This window comes from Homo sapiens, chromosome 11, assembly GCF_000001405.40.
Source record: "Homo sapiens chromosome 11, GRCh38.p14 Primary Assembly".
Lineage (NCBI taxonomy): Eukaryota > Metazoa > Chordata > Mammalia > Primates > Hominidae > Homo > Homo sapiens.
In genome coordinates, this window is record NC_000011.10 from 43746125 (window position 1) to 43766694 (window position 20570).

The window sequence follows — 20570 nt, forward strand, 5'->3', positions numbered from 1 at the left end:
AATGTGAAGGCCTAGGATATTACTGTAGACTTTATAAACGTTTAATACTTGGGCTATACTGAATTTATTTAAAAATTTTTTCTTTAATAACTAGCTTACTGTAACCCTTTTACTTTATAAATTTATCTTGCTTATCTTTTGGACTTCTGTAATAACACTTAGCTTAAAAAAGAAACACATTGTATACTGTACAAAAATATCTTCTTTATATCCTTATTCCATTTTTAATTTTTGAAATTTTATTTTTTACTTTTTAAGCTTTTTTTTGTTAAAAACAGAGATATAAAACATACACACTGGCCTGGGCCTACACCAGGTCAGGATCCTCAATATCAGTGTCTTTTACCTCCACATTTTGTCCCATTGGAAGGTCTTCAGACTCAATCACACACATAGAGCTGCCATCTCCTATGATAACAGTGCTTTCTTCTGGAGTATCTCCTGAAGGACCTGCCTGAGGCTGTTTTACAGCTAACTTTTTTCCTGTAAAGCAGAAGGAGTATACTCTAATGTGAAAAAGTATAGTATTATAGTAAATACATAACTCAGTAGCATAGTTGTTTATTATCATTATCGAGCACTATATGTTATATATAATTGTATGTGTTCTACTTTTCTATTACTGGCATAGTTGTAGGTTTGTTACACCAGCATGACCACAAACACGTGATTAATGCATTACGTTATGACATTATGACAGCTACAGTGTCACTAGATGATAGGAATTTTCCAGCTCCATTGTAATCTTAGGGGACCAGAGCTGTATATGTGGTCCTTTGTTGACCAAAACATTGTTATGCAGCTGCTGACTGTATGTGGTTTGCTTGCTCCACAGTTGTAGGCTTAATGCAGAATAATCTAGTTACCAACAGGATTTGTAAATAGGTCAGTGGCTAATAGGTGTTAGTGTAGGAAAGTGTAAGATACTGTACTTGTAAATAAAGACTTTTGAGAAACCAGGTTGTCAGGAAAACTGTCCAAGTCTTGCGTGTTTTGCAACTTTTTAGACCAACTAAATGCCGATCATCATTTAAACACTTACCAAATGTCTACTGAACACCTACCTTGTGCATGTTGCCTAGCAAGGAGACTAGAATCTTACAGAAGAATTAAGACATGTAGATGTAAGGAAATACAATTCAAAATAGAGTGGTAAAGTGCCATAGACTTAAAGATGTGCCAAGTGTTGTGGGAGTTTAGAAAGAGGAAGTTTTCTTTCACGTAAAGTGATCTAGAACAGTGAAGTTGGTGGATCTTCAATAAGGCTTTGATGGAAGAGGGTAGGAGGTGAGGTTCTGTGTTGGAAACAGGGCTTGTGGGGTGCCTGCATAAACTGCCCATAAAAATAGGGGACAATAAGTTCTGGAAAGCCACAAGAGGCCTCTGAGGAGGAAAGCCTCCTAATTGCCATCATGTTCCCATGCTCAGAGTGAGAGCTGCTCTCTTATCTGTAAACACTGTGTTCAAGGAGAAAGACACTCCTTTGAAGCGTTGGAATGTGGACAGATATGCAGGCTCCTAGTTAAGCCTACTCCCACCAGCTACTCTTCGATAAGTTAAAGATATGCTGTTTGAACACAAAGGAGATTCACTTAAACCGCCACTGCTATAGATTATGTGCATGACGGACTGCCTTCCATTCACCATTTTGCCCTGAACGTCTGCTTCTTAGATCTAAGTGACTGTACTCAATAAAAAGTGTGGAGACCAGAGCTCTGAGCCTTTTGCAGCCTCCATTTTGCAATTGGCTCTCTGGCCCCCACTCTTTATGCATTCTTAACCTGTCTCATTCCTTCATTGCCACTGGATTTTGAGTACCCTGCGGGTGGTGTTGAGGCTGGTCCCCAACAGTTCTGGGGTCTTGGAGAGGGGAGAAAAGTTTATCACAGAGAAAAGGAAGAGGAGAAAAGTGGAAACAATTAGAATATGTGTATCCATCACTTATGAAATGTTAGTGAATCAATAACAAGAATACAGTATAAAATTTGGATTCCTGTGCCTCTAAAAACAGTCGGGAGATGAAAAGTTACAGAAAATTATGTTCATTGCTACTCTAGTCACAATACCAAAGACATGGAATTAGTCCAGGTGCCCATCAATGGTAGATTGGGTAAAGAAAATGTGGTGCATATACACCATGGAATACTACACAGCCATGAAAAAGAATAAAATCATGTCCTTTGCAGCAACATAGATGAAATTAGAGGCCATAATCTTAAGCAAATTAACACAGGAACAGAAGACCAAATACTGCATGTTCTTACTTATAAGTGGGAGCTAAACACTGAGCACACGTGGAAATAAATATGCAAACAGTAGACACTGTGGTCTACTAGAGGGTGGAGGGAAAGGGGGTGAGTTGAAAAACTACCTATCAGGTACTATCCTCACTACCTGTGTGGTGGGATATATACCCACAACCTCAGCATCAAGCAATATTCCCATGTAACAAACCTCCACATGTACCCTCTATATCTAAAATAAAAGTTGAAATTAAAAAAACAAAAACAAAAGTTATGAATTGATCATGAGGTTGGAGGAGATTTTATAAGATGCTCAGTTTTCTGTAATTAGGTTCTCCCACAAACATTTAAATCTGTTAGTTACTAATGTTTCCTATAAACAGGACAATAGTGACAAAAACACATGGGTTACCTTTGGAAGATGCCAGAGTACCAGTTTATTTTGAAAACTGATAAATAAAGGCAAAAAAAAATTCAAACATTTATCTTGTGTTCTTATGCAATCTATATATCATGGTAACTAACTAATGAGGAATAATTTGTCTCTGGAAATATTCCAGCTAATAGATGAAGATGAATGATTGAACTCTAATATGACCATTTTGCAACCCCTAATGAAATAATGGATCTCAGTGGTGACCAGCAGTGGCTGCTAATATAACAAAACAAAAGATAACCAGACATATGCTTCCTGATGTAAAAATGCATTATCCCTTATGAAGTACTCCTACCAAAAAAATCAAACCTGAATTTGATCAATATCTATATCCAACCACCATGGGACAGAGGAACATGTTAAATGGTATCAAGGACAGGCTGAGAAAGCACAAACCTATGACCTAATATCTTAAACCAATAAATTGAGAGGGTGAAGGGAAGAAAGGGGAGAGGGGTTATAGACATGGTTAATTGACATATTAACAAATTTTATTATGGAACATTTTGAATCCTGATTGGAACAATTGTTAAAAGTCTTTTGAAACATTTGGCAGAATTTATAGTGATTACATATTGGATGTCAAGGAATTGTTATTTATAATTTTAGGAATGAGATAATGGTATTGTGGCTATTTTTCATAGCAGAAACATACTGTAATAGTTATGAATGAAGTGAAATAATGTTTTTACTTCAAAATAATCCAGTGTGAGAGGAAGCAGGAGGGAATATTAGATGAAGCAAGGTTAACCTCAAGTTGTTGATTGGTGAAGCTGAGCTATGGGTACCTAGGGGTTTGTTATACTGTTCTCTGGATATTTCAACTTTTTTTTTCTTTTTTTTTTTTAATTCTGGAAAGATATCAGCTAAGCAAGAACATGATGAAAGTCTACAAGATTATGAGAGATATGGCTAGGGAGACTATGAATGTGTTTACCATATTTCTGAATAGTAAAATTAGGGACCATCTTGTATAATTGGAAAGAAGTGAATACAAGAAAATCCTACTTTACACCATAACTTGTTTTTCAAAGTCTGTAAATGTTTTGGAAAAACTCGTATTTAGAGAATTTGGGGAGGCATCCCTTTTTGAAGCAGACATCTGTGCTTTGAACTTGTAACATGATTCTAGTATTCCAGAGATAAGATATCATGGTATAGCCTGCCCTATATAAATTTCAATGTTTCTGCTACATAAAGTTTTTGAGGTTGTAAGGCAAATATGGTTTCTCATAGAATAATTAAGACCATTTTCTATTTACTTTTACTACCCTTTGTTTTAAAAAGTAGCTTATGAAGATATATACAGTAAGTATGTACTTAAGTGTACAGCTCAGTGAATCTACACACACACAGTAGTAACTGCCACCCTGAAAAGATACAGAATATTTCCTGTATCCTGGAAGATTCCCGTATTGCCCTTCCCTGTTATCTACTCCACTATCCAGAGATAACCAGTATTCTGACTTCTGTCACCATAGATTAGTTTTACCTTTTCTTAAACTTACATTTTTATGTCAGACTTTTTGTAATGTCTTAGAGATTCATTCATGTTTTGCATATATCAGTAGTTCTTTTTTTATTTTCTTTTTTATTGCTGTTTAGTTTTGCTTCTTTTGTTTTCTCTTTTATTGCTGTTTAGTATTCCATTGTTTGTCTATATCTCAATTTACTTATTCTTCTGTCGATTAATATTTAGTTGTATTTACCTACTATGCATCAACTAAGCTACTGTGAACATTCTTTGGGGTAGACATTAATGCATTTCTGTCTCTTGAGAATTGGTGGGTTAAGGTAGGCATATTTTTAGTTCTGAACATATTGGCAAATAGTATTTTCCAAAATAATTGTACCAATTTACAGTGCCACCAGCAATGTGTGAGAGTCTAGTTGCTCCACATTCTTTTTAACACTTGGTTTTGAAGTCTTTTTAAAATTTTAGCTATTGCGGTGTGTATTCAACCTTAGATTTGAACCGCTGGTATTGTTCTGTCTTTTACATCAAAGTGTCACACTGGTCCTTTTGTATGTAATTGGTGGGTCCTAACTATGACCAATTCCTCAATGTAATTCTTAGACTAAACTATTGCTTTTTTCCCTTTCCCAGTTGTCACAGGTAGTACTGATGGAATTGGAAAATCATATGCAGAAGAGGTAGGTGATTTTCAAGATCTTTCCTTTTAATATAAAAAATAAGAATAAATATGGGATGATTTCTTATAGTAGTTTTGATTTTTGAAGTAAAAAACACAAATATAATGTTGCATGGTACAATAGATGCTTTTTGTTTCTACCTTGTTGGAAATACCATATTTGCCTAAACAGACACAATTTTTTGAAACAAATTTCATGTAAAATAAGTATAAAACTTTCTGGTTGTACTGGGTAGTTGGAACTGGGAACAATTTAGTGTAATTTTATTTTATGTCATGTAAGTGTGTACAGTCTTCAGATTTGAAAGTCAATTATTTTGAACTATTTTCCAAAAAATGAAAATATTATAGGTGGTTACATTTCTAGGCTAGTCCATGACATCATTTTCACAAGAAGGACTGTGATTAACAGAAAGGTATTGATAGACACAGGCAAAGGGTTCAGATTCTCTGCAATGAAATTAAAGAACAGGAGAGCATCATAGTTTGAAGACCACTGGACAAAGCAGGAGCCGGGGCAGTATTCTTTAGGCAAGTTTCCCTGCCTTCTGGTCCCTGTGAAGGCACCTACAGCCTATGATGAAGTGATCTGGAACAGTGGGGTGATTCTAATAAAGATCCCAGCAGATTCACTGGATCTTCTATTTATCATTCTCAAAAGGTCTTTTTGTTAATTTTAATTTTTCCAGCTTTTTATTTGGAAGAATATCAAAACTACAGAAAAGTTGCAAGAATATAACAAACACCTGTATACTCTTCACCTGGATTCACTAATTGTTAATATTTGGCACATTTAATTTACTTTACTATTATTATTAATTATTTCGCTGGACCATTTGTAAGTTAGTTATAGACATAACAGTTCACCCCTAAATATTTCAGGATGAATCTTCTAAGAGCTAAAACATTCACCCTTACAACCCCAATACATTGGTCACAATAGGAAGTTTAACGTGACACAATACTGTTGCATAACATACAGCCCTTATGCAGGTTTCCGGTTGCCCCAATACATCCTTTTAAGCTCTTTTTTAATCGTTGTTTTTCCAAGATCCAGGTAAGGATTATGCATTGCATTTGGTGTCATGTCTCTTAGTCTCCATTAATCTAAAAGAGTAAGTTAGCCTTATTTTTCTTTTATAAGAATGCCATTTTTGAAAAATCCAGTTTAGTTGTTTTGCAGACAAACTTGGATTTGTCCCATTGTTTTCTCATTAGATTCAGGAAAAGCATTTTTTCATCAGGAAGGCTACACAGGTTTATCCTTCTGAGTTCATCTTATTAGGAGGCAAAAGAAGTCTCATTTTTCCCATTATTGATTATAAACGTAATTAATAAGGAATATGTGGAATGACACTTTGAGGCTGTATAAATATATTATTTCCCAAAAATCTTTTATCCAGTGGTGTTAGGATTCATTGATAGTTTTTGCCTAGATTGGTTATTACCATGGTGGTTAAAAAATGGTGATTTTTGGCCAGGTGCAGTGGCTCACACCTTTAATCCCAGCACTTTGGGAGGCTGAGGTGGGTGGATCACCTGAGGTCAGGAGTTCAAGACCAGCCTGGCCAACATGGTGAAACCCTATCTCTACTAAAAATACAAAAATTAGCTGGACATGGTGGTGGGTGCTTGTAATCCCAGCTACTCAGGAGGCTGAGGCAGGAGAATCGCTTGAACCCAGGAGGTGGAGGTTGCAGTGAGCCGAGATCACACCGTGGCACTCCAGCCTGGGTGACAGAGCAAGACTCTGTCTCAAAAAAAAAAATAAGTGATTTGTTTCTAATGCTATATCTCCTACATTTATTAAGATGGTGTTTTTCTATAAAAGCTTTTCCTTATCCCTCTTGCCCTATTAATTTTTTAAAAGAAAGTATCAGTATGGGCTAATGGTTTTTTTAGTGGTGTTATAACAGATTAATTTCGCAAATCATCACCAACCTTTTTATTTTTATAAAAAATGTTCTTCCATAGCTTCATTTGCAATATCACTCACTACTTAATAAACCCTGACTTTAGGATTTAAGACTGGAATATTAGTTTGCTAAATCACTTTTAGTTGATAGCACCTAATTTATTGCTCATTTATATTCTGTCTAGAATATTTCACTAAATAGTTTTGTGCAGATTAGTGCTTTTTTTCCTCTACTACTATATTTATGTGTCCTGGGATAGTAACCACATTTGTGTAAATCTTTTTCATTATGTACAACACTTACATATGCTGGGTATGTACACAGAAGGTGTTCCTCAGGAAATTCTTTATTTATTCAATTAACTTCTTTAGTTTGCCATGGTCCATAAAGTATAATGCTCAACTTAAAATTTTAAAAATAATTATGTTTTTAGGAATTTTTAAAATTTTAGTAGTAGTTTCCTTTGCCAGTCCTCTGATGTTTGTTTTATATATCCATTCTGCAGCAAAAACTTTTTTTTTTTTTTTTTTGAGATGGAGTCTTGCTCTGTTGCCCAGGCTGGAGTGTAGTGGTGGGTGCAATCACGGCTCACTGCAGTCTAAACTTCCTGGGCTCAGGTGATCCTCCCACCTCAGCCTCCTGAGTAGCTGGAACTACAGGCATGTGCCACCACACCCAGATAATTAAAAAAAAAAAAAAAATTTTTTTTTTTTTAATTTTTTGTAGAGATGGGATTTTACTATGTTGCCCAGGATGGTTTTGGACTCCTGGGCTTAAGCAATTCTCCCACTTCGGCCTCCTGAATTGCTGGGATTACAGGCGTGAACCACTGTGCTTGGCATAAAACTTTTTTAAAGCTAATTTTTAAATTATAGAAGTGGTAGACACTTAAAGGTTTAAAAAACCCAAATAGTATAGATGATATAAAATGAAAAAGTAAAAGTCTCCCTCCTTCTAAAACCCTTTCACATTTAAATACTAGCTTGGCTTAGAAAGATAACTTTTTGGGGCATTTTTTTGGTAAAATCTCTATTTTGGATTATGTCTTCATTACACTTGGGTTTATATTTTGAACTATCATCTGGACAGGTTTTCTTAAAATGGGGGTTATAGCTCATTAATGTTTTTCAGTGACATGCACAGGTGTGATTCAAATCTCCTTTACTGTTTCAGTTAGCAAAGCATGGAATGAAGGTTGTCCTTATCAGCAGATCAAAGGATAAACTTGACCAGGTTTCCAGTGAAATAAGTAAGTTCTCACATCAAACAAAAGGAATACATAGCTAATTAATGTTTTCAAGCAGTTATCCGATACTGACATAGTTATTTCTAGTTCAGGAAACTTCTTTTTCAAGGAGAGATATCATTAAAGAGCATGAAAAAGCACAGGATGCTTTAAAAATGGATCATCAATTTTAGGCTGGGTGCGGTGGCTCACGCCTGTAATCCCAGCACTTTGGGAGGCTGAGGCGGGTGGATTACCTGAGATCAGGAGTTTGAGACTGGCCTGACCAACATGGTGAAACCCCGTCTCTACTAAAAATTAAAAAAAAATTAGCCGGGTATGGTGGCGGGCACCTGTAATCCCAGCTACTCAGGAGGCTGAGGCAGGAGAATCTCTTGAACCTGGGTGGTGGAAGTTGCAGTGAGCCAAGATAGTCCCACTGCACTCCAGCCTGGGTGACAGAGTGAGACTCCATCTCAGAAAACAAACAAACAAAAAAAGTTTTTTAAAAATTGTTTTAGGGTGATTGTAATTTGCTTAAAATGTCTTTTACTAATTTATTTTTGTCTTGTCAGTAGTCAAATTATCTGATTATTTTATCGTATTCTGCTGAAATGTCTAAACTTGTTTGCTGTGACTTCATTTCAGTATTCCTGAATGTTTTTTACTCTTTTTATCTCAGTGTTTCTAAATGTATAACACATATGTGTTAGGAAAAATAGAAAAGATAGCAATACCCATGTGACAGGGAAAATCTTTTGAACTTTCTTCTTAGGCAATTATACTTGAGACCTGAATTACAATATGGCAAAGACTCTTAACTAACTTCTACTCAATCAACCAGATGGATAAACCAATGCTGTTCATTTGTTTGGTAAAACATACTAACTGATGTCCCCAGTTTGCTGACCATTTGTGGCCAGGAAGCTTCTGTGTATAATGCTTATATACTTTTATCCTCACAAATCAAATTGTTTACTTATTAAGAGTCAATTTGTGTTTGTTTCCAAACTTATGTTGGGTATATTTTTTATTAAATATTCTGTAAAATGATGAACTATTAGTGTAAAAGCTAGAGTTAGTTCTATAAAAACTAAGTTGAATGCTCTAAAAAAAGTGAGTAAAATTACTTCTTTGAAAAATTGGCCGTCAAATTAGTGTTGAACAAAGACAAATGTAAAATATTGGAAGAACTTACAAAAAAGAAATCTGCTCTCCTGATTGTTTCATATGTGTTGAAGTTTGTGCTGTACTTTACTAGAACTGAAATTGTAATCATAAATGATAGAATATGGGTGTGATGCATGCAAGAAAGACTGGAATTCAAGTCCGCAGATCCAATCTCAAAGACAAGGTCTTGGCCCTACACAGAGGATTGGTGAATGAATTACATTTATACATGGTTTAAGTGAAAATAAAATGATTACCATGTGTATTTATCTCTATGAGTCCTTGTTTTAACTAACTTCTCAGCTAACAGATCGTCCAAATTCTTTCAATGAGAATTGATGAGAGAGGATTTCTTCTATATTTTGTTACCAACATTACCACCTACTGCTAACATTTATATAGTGCCTTATTATTTATTCATTCTCTCACATGTATTGTCTCCTTTGATTCTTCCAACATACTTATGAGGTATATTTTGTTACTATTTCTTTCCAGACCATAGCTGGTCCTATTGGACAGATAGCTTCACTTCATCTTTAGATAAAAAACAGAGTGTATTCGTCTGTTTTTCATGCTGCTGATAAAGACATACCTGAGACTGGGTAATTTGTAAAGAAAAAGAAGTTTAATAGATACACATGGCTGAGGAGGCCTCACAATCATGGCGGAAGGTGAAAGGCACGTCTTACATGGTGGCAGGCAAGAGAGAAAATGAGAACCAAGTGAAAGAGGTTTCCCCTATAAAACCATCAGATCTCATGAGACTTATTCACTACCATGAGAACAGTATGGGGGGAACCGCCCCCATGGTTCAATTGTCTCTTACCAGATCCCTCTCATAACACATGGGAATTATGGGAGATGCAATTAAAGATGAGATTTGGATGGGGACACAGCCAAACCATTCACAGCGCCTTATTGGAGATTCCCAATATTAAATATGTTATATCTTTTTTTTTTTTTAATTATTTTAACCTTGCTGAGAGTACAGATCTTTACAAAGCTGAGCATGTGGTATATAGATATACAATATATCTTTGGCATTTGAAGCTTTTAACATTCAAGATTTCAGCTATGTAAATGCAACCCCAAAGGGCCAAGATATACAGTATTTTACAGTTTTGCTGAGGTCTGAATCTGAATTAAGCCATGACACTAATGAGCCTGAGGTAGTTACTGAGATAGTAGGTGAATTTAACATACTGCCTGGATCTTAGCACTGTTTCATTCTTAGCTTCTTGTAGTCTTGTATATAATAACTCTTAAAGTGATTTAAAAAATGTTGTGTTTGTGGGTGTGTCTAGAAATTGCCTCTCAATGAATGCATCTACTAGTTGCTAGAAATAAAGGTACATAGGCAGAAAGTAGATGCTTTTGACTAAATGGAATGTTGCATTTTGAAATGCTATGATATGAATGAATCTACCGTCTACTCGATACAGAAACAAGAAAAGCTACCTCATGACACTTTCAGCAAGTACTGCAGCCTGTACAAAGATTGCTCAGTGACTCAGAAGATATGCTTTAATGATATTTGAGAATTTGGTTAACTCATGATATGAGGTGGCACGTGACTGTTGGCAGAAATGTGATTCTGGAGAAAGAGAGGATTCTGTTCAAACATTTTCATGAAGGAACAGATGGTAAAGACACTGAATTGACCTTTATTAAAAGGCATGGGTTTTTATCCTTGTTAAAATTTTTGAAAAATGTTTTTCTGGGCATAATATGAATTTAATAGGAGAGGTGATATCAGCAGACTATGTCTTCTGTTCTAAGCTGAAAAAATACATAGAGGAGATTTATAAGTTAAGACAGATTTTTAACTGAGATGTAAATCACCTCTTTGGGAGGATAATGTTTGCATGAACATATTTATTCCAGGAGAAAGAAGGACCAGTATTTAATATTGTCAAAGACAGACTAACTCTGCATTCCTTTGATTATACCTTTAACACATCTTTATTGAATGCCTGTGTACCAGGTACTGTGCTAGGCAGTGAAGATACCATGGTGAACAAGGTGGCATGCAGTCCCTGTTCTCAAAGAACTTAAGTGCAGGAGACAGTAAAAACAAATAGGTAGGCCGGGCGCGGTGGCTCACGCCTGTAATCCCAGCACTTTGGGAGGCCGAGGCGGGTGGATCATGAGGTCAGGAGATCGAGACCATCCTGGCTAACAAGGTGAAACCCCGTCTCTACTAAAAATACAAAAAATTAGCCGGGCGCGGTGGCGGGCGCCTGTAGTCCCAGCTACTCGGGAGGCTGAGGCAGGAGAATGGCGTGAACCCGGGAAGCGGAGCTTGCAGTGAGCCGAGATTGCGCCACTGCAGTCCGCAGTCCGGCCTGGGCGACAGAGCGAGACTCCGTCTCAAAAAAAAAAAAAAAAAAAAAAAAAAAACAAATAGGTAAAAAACAAACAAATAAACCAAACCAAAAAAAGCACACACAAAAAAAACAGACAAATAAATAATTGCAGCCTATATTGAATGCCACAAAGGAAACAAAGGGCTAGAGAGATAACAATAGAGAAGTTCTTACTTTGTTGCAGCATGGTGAGTTTTGCGATTCGCAAGGTGATAAAAGGGCTAGAATAACGGCCTGTTGCCCATATAACAGCACTCCAGTAACAAAACTGGAGCCTTACTGAAAGACCTATCCTCTGGGCCCATTTGGGGGTATAATGGTGGAGGGATTGTGTGTGTGCAAGTTGCATAGGATACATGCACTAACGTTTCTATTTTCTTAAGCCTTGTTATGCAAGGGAATTTATGGCCCCCCAGTCTCATTAAACTGTAGCCTATTATGGAGTCCAAGTTCCAAGTTTCAGTCAGCCAACCAAGTCAACCAACTATATGAACTAAACATTAAATCCTAAATCTCTGGTAAGTGAATCATAAAAATATTTGGCCCAATCTGGTATTATATTGTTTTCTGTTGTGGGTGTCAGTGAGGGATATTTGAGTTAAGTCTTGAGGAGAAGAGGAATTCTTTTGCTAGGAAACTGCCCTTACTGTTGTGGTGGGGTTATTAGAGGATCTTCAAGCCAGAGAACGCCAATCTTGGGAGACACAGGCAGGAGAACAGACTAGTACTATTTCCACTGGAAAGGGAGGTTCAGAGTAGCTTGGGAGTCCAAGATTCTCAGTTTCAGTTGAGTCTGACCAAATATCCCCATCCCAAATCTCAGGGTCACACTTTTTCTCATTCAGTGCTTTCAAATGAGACTAGGTGTCTGTGGAATTCAACTTAAGTTGTAATTCTGCAACTGGCACATTTAAATCTGATGTTAGCAAGGTGAACTCCATGGCTATAAAACATAAAACTTTTTACTGGGGCTACCACGGAAGTTCTCTGGTTCTCTCATGGTAAATGTGAGCTGACAGTTTAGTGATCTGAACTTGCCGTTTTTATTCTATAAGTGCTCCAGTATATTCAGAAGAAGCCACAGCTTAGCACAGTCTTTGTACTCATCATTTCTGCCAAACTCAAATGTAGCCACCATTTGGTCCCTCAAGGCACTTCTCCAGTGGGTACTTCATTACAATTAACAGCCAGGGTTAATTTGATGAACTGTCATACCACTTATTGCATAATGGATTGCTAGTATCCCATTTCCTATTGGGAAGGGGCTTAACACTATGTCTAAGCCCAAGGACACAATCAAACCAGTGCAAAAGTCCTTTGAAGTTTGTCTTGTGATCCTACTCCTGAAACTAATTCGTGGATCAGGCAGCGCCCAGTCAGGAAACAGAAGTCACACAATTTAGTTTAACCAGGATAACTTGTCTCTTCTAGTCCAACATTTAAACTCACTCCAATGGGTTGAACTCATCGTTCTTACTTCCCTGTGTGACTGAAAGACAAAAAGAGGAAATGGGGGATTGATGAGGAAATTACTTGACAAGTGAAAAAAATCAAGGACTTTTTTTTTGGCTGCTCTCACCTTCGAAATCTGTCATCATATAAACTTGGGCACTTTATATCAAGAAGTAATTCCTTATGAATGTGGAGGGTAGCCTACTCATCAGTGTCAAAATTTTTAAGAAAAATTTTGAATGGATTATATGTAGTTAGTAGGACACTAAATGTTTCACCAACAATGGATAAGTGCTTTGTCAGGATTGACTGCTTTGATGAAATTACAGTTCTTTGTAAGGATACCTGTCACCCTTTTAATTAAGACAAGCTGAAAGCCATCACACATGTAATAAGCTTATTTTATTATCATTCTTAGCCAGGATTATTCATATATTAAATATTTTTGCCAATTTTGATTCATCAAAGAAAAAAACTAGAAATTTTTTTAACACTGAGCTGAGTTTTTATTTGCAATAAAGCATAATAAAAAGGAGACTAGCTTTCAGAACAACCTGTTGGTTCACAGATTGTAGAGATGGTGATATTTATAATTCATATTATTTTACAGTCCTTTCTTCCTTCTCTTTTCGTTTCATTTCTTTTCTTTTTTTCTTTTTTGAGACAGAGTCTTACTTTGTCACGCAGGCTGGAATGCAGTGGCCCAAATATGGCTCACTGTGACCTCAACCTCCCAGGCCCGAGCAGTTCTCCCACTTCAGCCTCCCAGGTAGCTGGGACTACAGGCTTGTACCACCACACTTGGCTGATTTTTTTTTTTTTTAAATTGAGACAAGGTCTCACTCTGTCATTCAGCCTGGAGTTCAATGGCACGATCTTGGCTCACTGCAACCTACGTCTCCCAGGTTCAAGCAATTCTTGTGCCTCAGCCTCCTGGGTAACTGGGAATAAGAGGCACGTGCCACCATGCCTGGCTAATTTTTGTATTTTTAGTAGAGATGGGGGTTTCACCATATTGGCTAGGCTGGTCTTGAACTCCTGGCTTCATGTGATCCACCCACCTCGGCCTGCCAAAGTGCTGGGATTACAGGCCTGAGTCACTGCTCCCAGCCTAATTTTTTTGTTTGTTTTTTCTTGTATTTTTCGCAGAAACAGGGTTTCGCCATGTTACCCAGGCTGGTCTCCAGCTCCTGAGCTCAAGCGATCCTCCCACCTTGGCCCCCCAAAGTGCTGGGCTTATACATGTAAGCCACTGCGCCCAGCCCACGGTCAGTATTTCTGATTGGATGCAGTTTAATAAACTTTGATTTTTAAAACTGCATATTTCTTTCTTGGATTTAAAAAAATCAAACCATGAGATTTCTCTTTTTTGTAACTTATCTCAGGGTGTAAAGCTTTTGGATGGTCCTGTAACTCCATGGCTTTATCTCTTGAAATGCAATGCTTTTTTAGAAATGTAAATCTTACTGGTCTATAGTGAACAGAAGAGTAGGATAAGGTAAGAAATGTCCATTTCACTTTTTCAGGCCTTACTTGGAATTAAATTTCTATAGTTAAGATATGAATTTGACCAAATAAGTTTGTTCCACAATTTTCTGATGCAGTAATAATACCATTAATACGATGCCTTGTTATATTTAGCTTGTTTTGTTTTCATAAGTACAACAGGAGGCATTAGTAAACACCTGTAGACCTTTTCGTTTTATGTCTAATAAAACTAAAACCACATGATGTTAGGATTAGAGAGTTAATCTCATATAGCCCCATGAGTCATATTTTTAAAACTGCTTCTTTAATGCTAGAAATATCTTTGTTGCTCGTAGAGTTTATATGTTACAGGGCCAGGAATAAAACCCATCCATTTTGCCTCTACTGGTTTTGCCCATAGTACCTGTAACTGTAGAGATATTCTACAATTTTGTCAATGTTCCTGGCCTTCCAGAAAGTGACGTTCTGTACTGCCTGTAAGACAGACTCCACAAGGCAGTGAGCTAGTCCCAGGATAGTTTCCTGAAAGGTCTTTGAAGCATTGTTTCCACATAAGAGAATCCTTGTTCCTTACTAGTGGGCTTGTCATGCTTAATTAAATGAAATTTACCATTAAATGAAACATTTCTGTTATGGTCATGGTTACAAAATTGTTTTATCTAATTATATCCTGATAGGGAGAAGGATAGATTCTTACTGAGACAATGCAAATAATTACATTGTCATGTAAAATAAAAGAACTCAATAAAGGCATGTTGTAGAATATTTGGCCATTGCTTTGATTAGTTTTACAGACAAGGCCAATCAATATGTGTTGTATTTTCTATATAATTAACATCTTTAAATTTATCTAATGATTTACCAGTTTATATTTCAGCTACTGTTGCAGCGTAACAAACCACCCCAAACTTATTGTGGTAAAGGAACAACCATTTTAGATGCTCACAAGTTTTTCTGGTCAGGAATTTTGTCAGGACTTAGACAATCCTTTTGCTCCTCATGGCATTACTGAGGTCACTCAGTGATATTTTGCTGACGGATGGTCTGGTCTGGAAGATCTAAGATGGCTTCTCTTAACAGGTCTAGTGACTTGGCAGGAGATGGCCAGAGGCTGGACTTAGCTGGGACTGTTGACTAGAACACCTACATGTAGCCTCTCTAGCATAGCCATATCAGGGTAACTGGACTTCTCACATGGTAACTATATTCCCCCAGAGTGAACATTCCAAGAGAACCAGGCAGAGGCTTATGTCTTTGTTGCCTGGTCTCAGAATTCACGTAGCATTATTACTACCATACTCTGTTGGTCAAAGCAGTCATGAATCTGCCCAGATTTAAGGGGAGAGGAATAGACTCTACCATTTGATAAGGGAGTGGCATGGTAACTTTGGCAAAGAACATATGGGATAGAAGATATTGTTGGAAAATACGATCTGGATTTGGAAAATACAATCTGCCAGTTTATAAGCTATATTAAAGTTTCCCAGGGAATATTTTTCCTGAATTCTGTGGGATCAGTAGGAAAAACATAGAATTCCAAGAGCGTTCATTGCAATTTGCCCAAGTATGGCTAACTACCATGAGGGTTAGTGAAAAATTAAGAAGAAAAAAAAGACGTTTTCTCAAAATATTAAGTTTTTTCTGGTTCTATTTAGTCTTGCAAAATTAATTTTTGTTCCATTGGTCAGCAGCATGCTTTTACAAAATGTTTAATTTTGGAATATAGAGTCCTATAAATACTAACTCAATTTCCTGGTACAATTTGTCAGATTGTCTGCTTTTGTGGCAATGTTGGGTTACACTGAGCAGGAAGCCTGACTTACACTGAGAATGAGTTGATTCTCTGCAGCATCAGTAATAGCCAAGAGTCCAGATACAGCCCTTGCTGAGGCTAATTAGTCTTTTGATGATCTTCCTAAAGACTCTATTTTCTGACATTCAGTTTATGGCCGGGGCCCTTAGACAAGCTTGAAGGAAATGTAGCAACCACCTGTTAATAAGACTGATGGTTAATTTATTATAATAATTACCACTGTCAGAATGGAATCCCCTAGTGGGATATAATATGGAACTAATTAATATGATTTAGTCAGTGATTATCCTGAGGGTATGAGCCTTATCATGGACATTAAAGGAATTGATACCTCCAGAGACTTTCATAATGTGTGTTTTTAAATTGCCAACTATTAAGAGTATTTTGTACTTGTTGATAACGTAATCTTAGCAATCAATTTGTTCATAGTTGTGCCAGTCTTTGCATAGAATCATGAATATGTTTCTATTCATCCTGAAAAGTAGTACATGTTGAGCCATATTTATTATTAATTACACCTTGCCTACACATAATTGACCAGGGTGTTGAGCTTCTCTTATTGATTTAATAGTTCTTCCCATATCATGGGCTTGATAAACAAAGCAGGTCTCATAAGAGAGCTGAACTAATTAAAGATGTGGAATATGCTATGTATCTAGTTACACCTAATGTCCTCCTTGCTCAGTAGTGCTGCATAGCGGTTAATCAAGAAGCACTGAAGATAGTTTGGGTGTAAAGTATATCTTAACAATTTTATTTTTCTTCATCTGAGGCCCAAATTTGTGAAGAGACTAATCGTTATACTGACATATAAGCATAAGTCTTAGGTACCCAAGACAAGAAATGATTATAGTCTTAATTTGGTATGACAGCAATTAAAGCATAGCTACAAGAAATAATGGTTATTAGCAAATCTAGCATATACAGAAACAAGAAACTTTTGTTCGAAAATCATTCAACAACATGACAAAAGTCAACACAAAAGCTCAAAAAGTTAACAGGCTCTTAGGAAGTGAGAGTATTCTAAGGAGATAAGGAACCTTTACTAGCCAGGCTGGATACTGAGGCGCATAGTAATTTTGATAGCTTTATCATTAAGAGAAGACTATATTCTCAAAGATCAATTTTCTTCTCAACAACTGGTTCCAGACAGTTTAATTCATAAGCTTTCTTTGTTGATTTCAATATATTTTATACCCTTATATATATATATATAAGGTTATCTTATATATATATATATCTTATCTACATATAAGATATATATATAGAGAGAGAGAGAGATGACAAGTTAATACTTTCAACTAGCTTAAAATACGTTAACTTTACATTCTGTGATTATTCTTCAAGTTGTTGCACATACCACATTGAGTTCTCCATCCTAACTGGAGTTTTCTGTATGAATTTTAATCTTTAGAAATTGTCCAGGGCAACCAAAGATTCTCTTTATTTCACTTGCTGTGATATTTGTATAGTATTTCAAGGTCAGTTAAGAATTATAGATATTATATTTAAGTTGACATTGCAGAGCAACATGATCATTGTTGATACCACGTTTGTCCAAGAGGTGATATTTGAAAGTTTTCCACAGATGGCGTGAAGAGTTACTTAGTTTAAATGATTTGGGGAATGTCTGAAGTTCACAAGTGTCAAGCCTTGGCATTATATTTCATACTGTGATAATATCAGAAGATATATAGCTATTTTTAAAATTAAAGTTATCAAACCAGTTTTAATTTGGTTAGGGATTTACCTTAATTAGGAGTGTAATGTGAAACTTGGATTCTTATATAACTCTGAATTTATTTACCAATATTAGAAATGTTTCAAAAGTTTATGTTAGTACATTTTAAAATAATGACTAGTTGTTAGCCAAATATCTGAATTTTAAAAACTATCACTGTTTGAGCTGGCCATTTCTGTGGGGAATGATTTGTCTGAGATTGCCAGCACATTTAAAGCCTCAGAAGTTTTGTCCTTGTCTAATAATTTTGAGTTTTTTTCTTCTTAGATTTAAATAAGCACTTACTAAGTCTCTATAAGCTATCCAGAACAGGGGCTTTTCCAAATTTGAAAGAGAGAATTGATGGGCAGTATTGTTCACGTCTTCTGTATCCTTATTGGTTTCCTTTCCACTTTCTCCATCAATTATTTTGAGAGGGGCAATGAAATCACCGACTATAATTATGGATTTGTCCTTCACAATTTTTCTATTTATCTGTTATTAGGTGTATTAACATTTAGAGTTGTATGTCCTCTTGATGAATTCACTCTTTATCATTATGGAATGACCCTCTTTATTCTTGGTAATAATCTTTGCTCTGAAATCTACTTTGATGGAAATTTACTTTGTCTAGCTTTCTTTTGATTAGTGTTAGCATGGCATTTCTTTTTCCTTTAATCTATAAGTGCTTTATATTTTAAATGGGTTTCTTATGGACAGCATAGAGTTGATCTCGCTTTTTTATCTAAATTGATGGTTTCTGCCTTTTAATCGGGGTCCCCAGACCATCTACATTCAGTGTCATTATTGATTGAGCTAAAACCTACCAATTGCTTTTTGTTTGCTATTTATTCTGTCTGTTCTTTGTTCCCTTTTTCATTTTTTCTGCCTGCTTTTGAATTGCATGCTTTTTATAATTCTAATTTTATTTCTATCCTCGGTTTGCTGACTGTATATCTTTTTTTCTTTCTTTTAAAAGTCTTATATTTACATACATATTAACATTTCTGATGCTCTTCATTCTTTTATGTAAATGATTTCAATCAGGAATCTTTTATTTCCCTTTTCCCCTGTCTGAAGGTCTTCCTTTAACATTTCTTGTAGTCTGGTCTGCTGATGATTCATTCTTTTTGTATATCTGAAAAAAAAACCCTTTACATTTGAAAGGTATTTTCTCTGGGTATAAAATTATAGATAGATGGTTTCTTTTTGTTTTCTGGTACTTAAACTACTTTGCTTCACTGTCTTCTGGCTTGCATTGTTTCTGATAAGAAGTCAGCTGTTATTCTTACCATTTTATCACCATGCATAATGTGAGGTTTTTCTCTTTTCTGGTTACTTCTAAGATTTTTCTCTTTATCACTTAAGTTTTTTTTTTTTTAATTATTATTTTGCCTCTTCTTGTAGTTTCCCTACTTGGAGTTTGTTAAGCTTAAATTTAAGTGTTCATAGTTTTCGGATAGTTTCTTCATCTCACACTCTTTTTCTGGGACTTTAGTTACGTATATATTAAGTTGTCTTAACCCACTGATGCTGTCTTTAGTTTTTATTTGAGTTTCTTTTCTCTCTGTGTTTCATTTTTGGACAGTGTTTATTTATATGCCTTCACATTCACCAACGTTTTTTTCTGCAGTGTCTAATCTGCTGTTAATTCTGTTAGTGTATTTTAAATCCAGACATTGTCCTTTTTCTCTCTGTATTAAAATTTCTGCCAATTTTATATCTTCTACACCTTTTCTTTTTTTGAGACGGAGTCTCACTCTTTTGCCCAGGACGGACTGCAGTGGCACTATCTCGGCTCACTGCAAGCTCTGCCTCCCGGGTTCACGCCATTCTCCTGCCTCAGCCTCCCGCCACTACAGGCGCCCGCCACTGCGCCCGGCTAATTTTTTGTATTTTTAGTAGAGACGGGGTTTCACCATGTTAGCCAAGATGGTCTCGATCTCCTGACCTTGTGATCTGCCTGCCTCGGCCTCCCAAAATGCTGGGATTACAGGCGTGAGCCACCGTGCCCGGCCTCGCCTTTTCTTAACGTGCTCACTCTCTAGTTTCTTGAACATATAGAATATATCTATCATAATTATTTTAATGTGTTTAGTGTTTTGTCTACGAGTTCCTCAATTAGTAGACTACTAATTAGTAGACAGACTTGACTGCTGGGCTCTATCTGAATTCCTCTTCTCCTCATAATGGTCTAGAAAATCTCTCCAGACTATAAGCTAGGGTCATAGGGCTCACCTCATTTGTTTTCTTTCTCTTAGGGACTTCTGTCATGCATTCTTTATTGTCCAATGTCTGGAAACCATTGCTTCATATATTTTGTCCATTTTTGTTCAGGCTGGTCAAGTGATGTCCAGTTTTTTAGTTTAAGGCCAAGGAATAAATCTAGTCTCTGTTACACCGTCATGGCCAGAAGCAGAAGTCCCTCTCCCCTCCTTTGTTAACCATCATAGATTTCCTGGTAAATATTACCATCATTGCATGTGTCCATAAATGTTTGGTCTACATCACACTTTTAAAGAGAGACAAGGACACAATTCTTTTGTATTTCGTTGTACCAGGCCTAGCATGGTTTAATGGGTGTGGGC

The 20570-nt window shown here is 36.3% G+C and overlaps 1 protein-coding gene across 7 annotated transcripts in view, besides 1 other annotated feature; it reads left to right on the forward strand.

Moving 5' to 3' along the window:
• Positions 1–20570, forward strand: part of HSD17B12 (hydroxysteroid 17-beta dehydrogenase 12) — a 299895-nt gene that overhangs the window by 189404 nt on the left and 89921 nt on the right. For all 7 annotated transcript variants that reach the window (XM_024448573.2, XM_047427074.1, XM_024448571.2 and 4 more), the window contains 2 exons: positions 4787–4833; positions 7922–7997. In XM_024448573.2, coding sequence (XP_024304341.1) covers positions 7937–7997 — 61 coding nt within the window. In that variant the 5' untranslated portion in view covers positions 4787–4833; positions 7922–7936. The remainder of the gene's footprint in view (positions 1–4786; positions 4834–7921; positions 7998–20570) is intronic.
• Positions 12902–13102: a silencer, noted in NCBI's record as "peak1263 fragment used in MPRA reporter construct". NCBI's record gives its function as "represses an SCP1 promoter by STARR-seq MPRAs in K562 erythroleukemia cells {active_cell/tissue: K562}" and the evidence as "EXISTENCE:reporter gene assay evidence [ECO:0000049][PMID:32103011]".